Consider the following 792-nt stretch of genomic DNA (forward strand, 5'->3'; position numbering starts at 1 on the left):
CGCAAATTCATCTGTAAGTAGACTATTGGGATTTTTTAAAGGTTATCCATTATTCTAATTAGCCTGCAGAGTTTATTCTGCAGGAACTCCAATGTTTTTGGAAACATAATTAATACATCAACATGTGTGAGACCCGTAACAATTTTTATCAAATAAGGGAGAGTGAGTGACTGAATGACTCAGTTTCACTATGATCGGTATAGCACTGAGGTGTGAGAAAGCATGATACATTTATGGAAATGGATCCATTGTAGCCACAGAACATAGGAGGTCAGCAGAAGAGAAAGTGTGAGAGGCAAGATGATGTCATATCCTGAAGGGCCTGTGAATGATAACAAAGATCTATCCGGAAGGTGTGGGGCCATTGTATGGAATAGTAAACTATTTAAGGGTTCTGTGTCAAGAATAGTACACTCAATCTCTATTAAAGTCCACACACAAGAAAATGAGATTCAGTTTTAATTTGAAGAACTTCTACTTACGGAGCAAGTGCCACATGCCAGAGGATTCATACAGAACTCATCACCACCTCATAAGCTAAGCATCATTCTCCCCATTTTACAAATGAGAAAACTGAGGATCAGACATGTTAAGTAACTTGTTCAATGACTCACACAATAAGTGGTGGAGCAGAGTTTTATGGAAACCTGATTCTTCAAACCTAGGTTATTGATCTCCATGCAGCACTGAGTCAGGGAGAAGGTCAGCTGTATGAAATAAATGGCAGTGTTGATATTTATAATGAGAAGGCCTCATGTTTTCCTGCCTGAGATGGTTTATTAGTAGTCCTAC

The 792-nt window shown here is 38.6% G+C and overlaps 1 annotated feature.

The window, feature by feature from the left end:
* Positions 222-401: an enhancer, noted in NCBI's record as "active region_5330". NCBI's record gives its function as "activates an Ori minimal core promoter by ATAC-STARR-seq in GM12878 lymphoblastoid cells {active_cell/tissue: GM12878}" and the evidence as "EXISTENCE:reporter gene assay evidence [ECO:0000049][PMID:35858748]".

The sequence above is a fragment of the Homo sapiens genome, chromosome 11 (assembly GCF_000001405.40).
Source record: "Homo sapiens chromosome 11, GRCh38.p14 Primary Assembly".
NCBI classification, from domain to species: domain Eukaryota; kingdom Metazoa; phylum Chordata; class Mammalia; order Primates; family Hominidae; genus Homo; species Homo sapiens.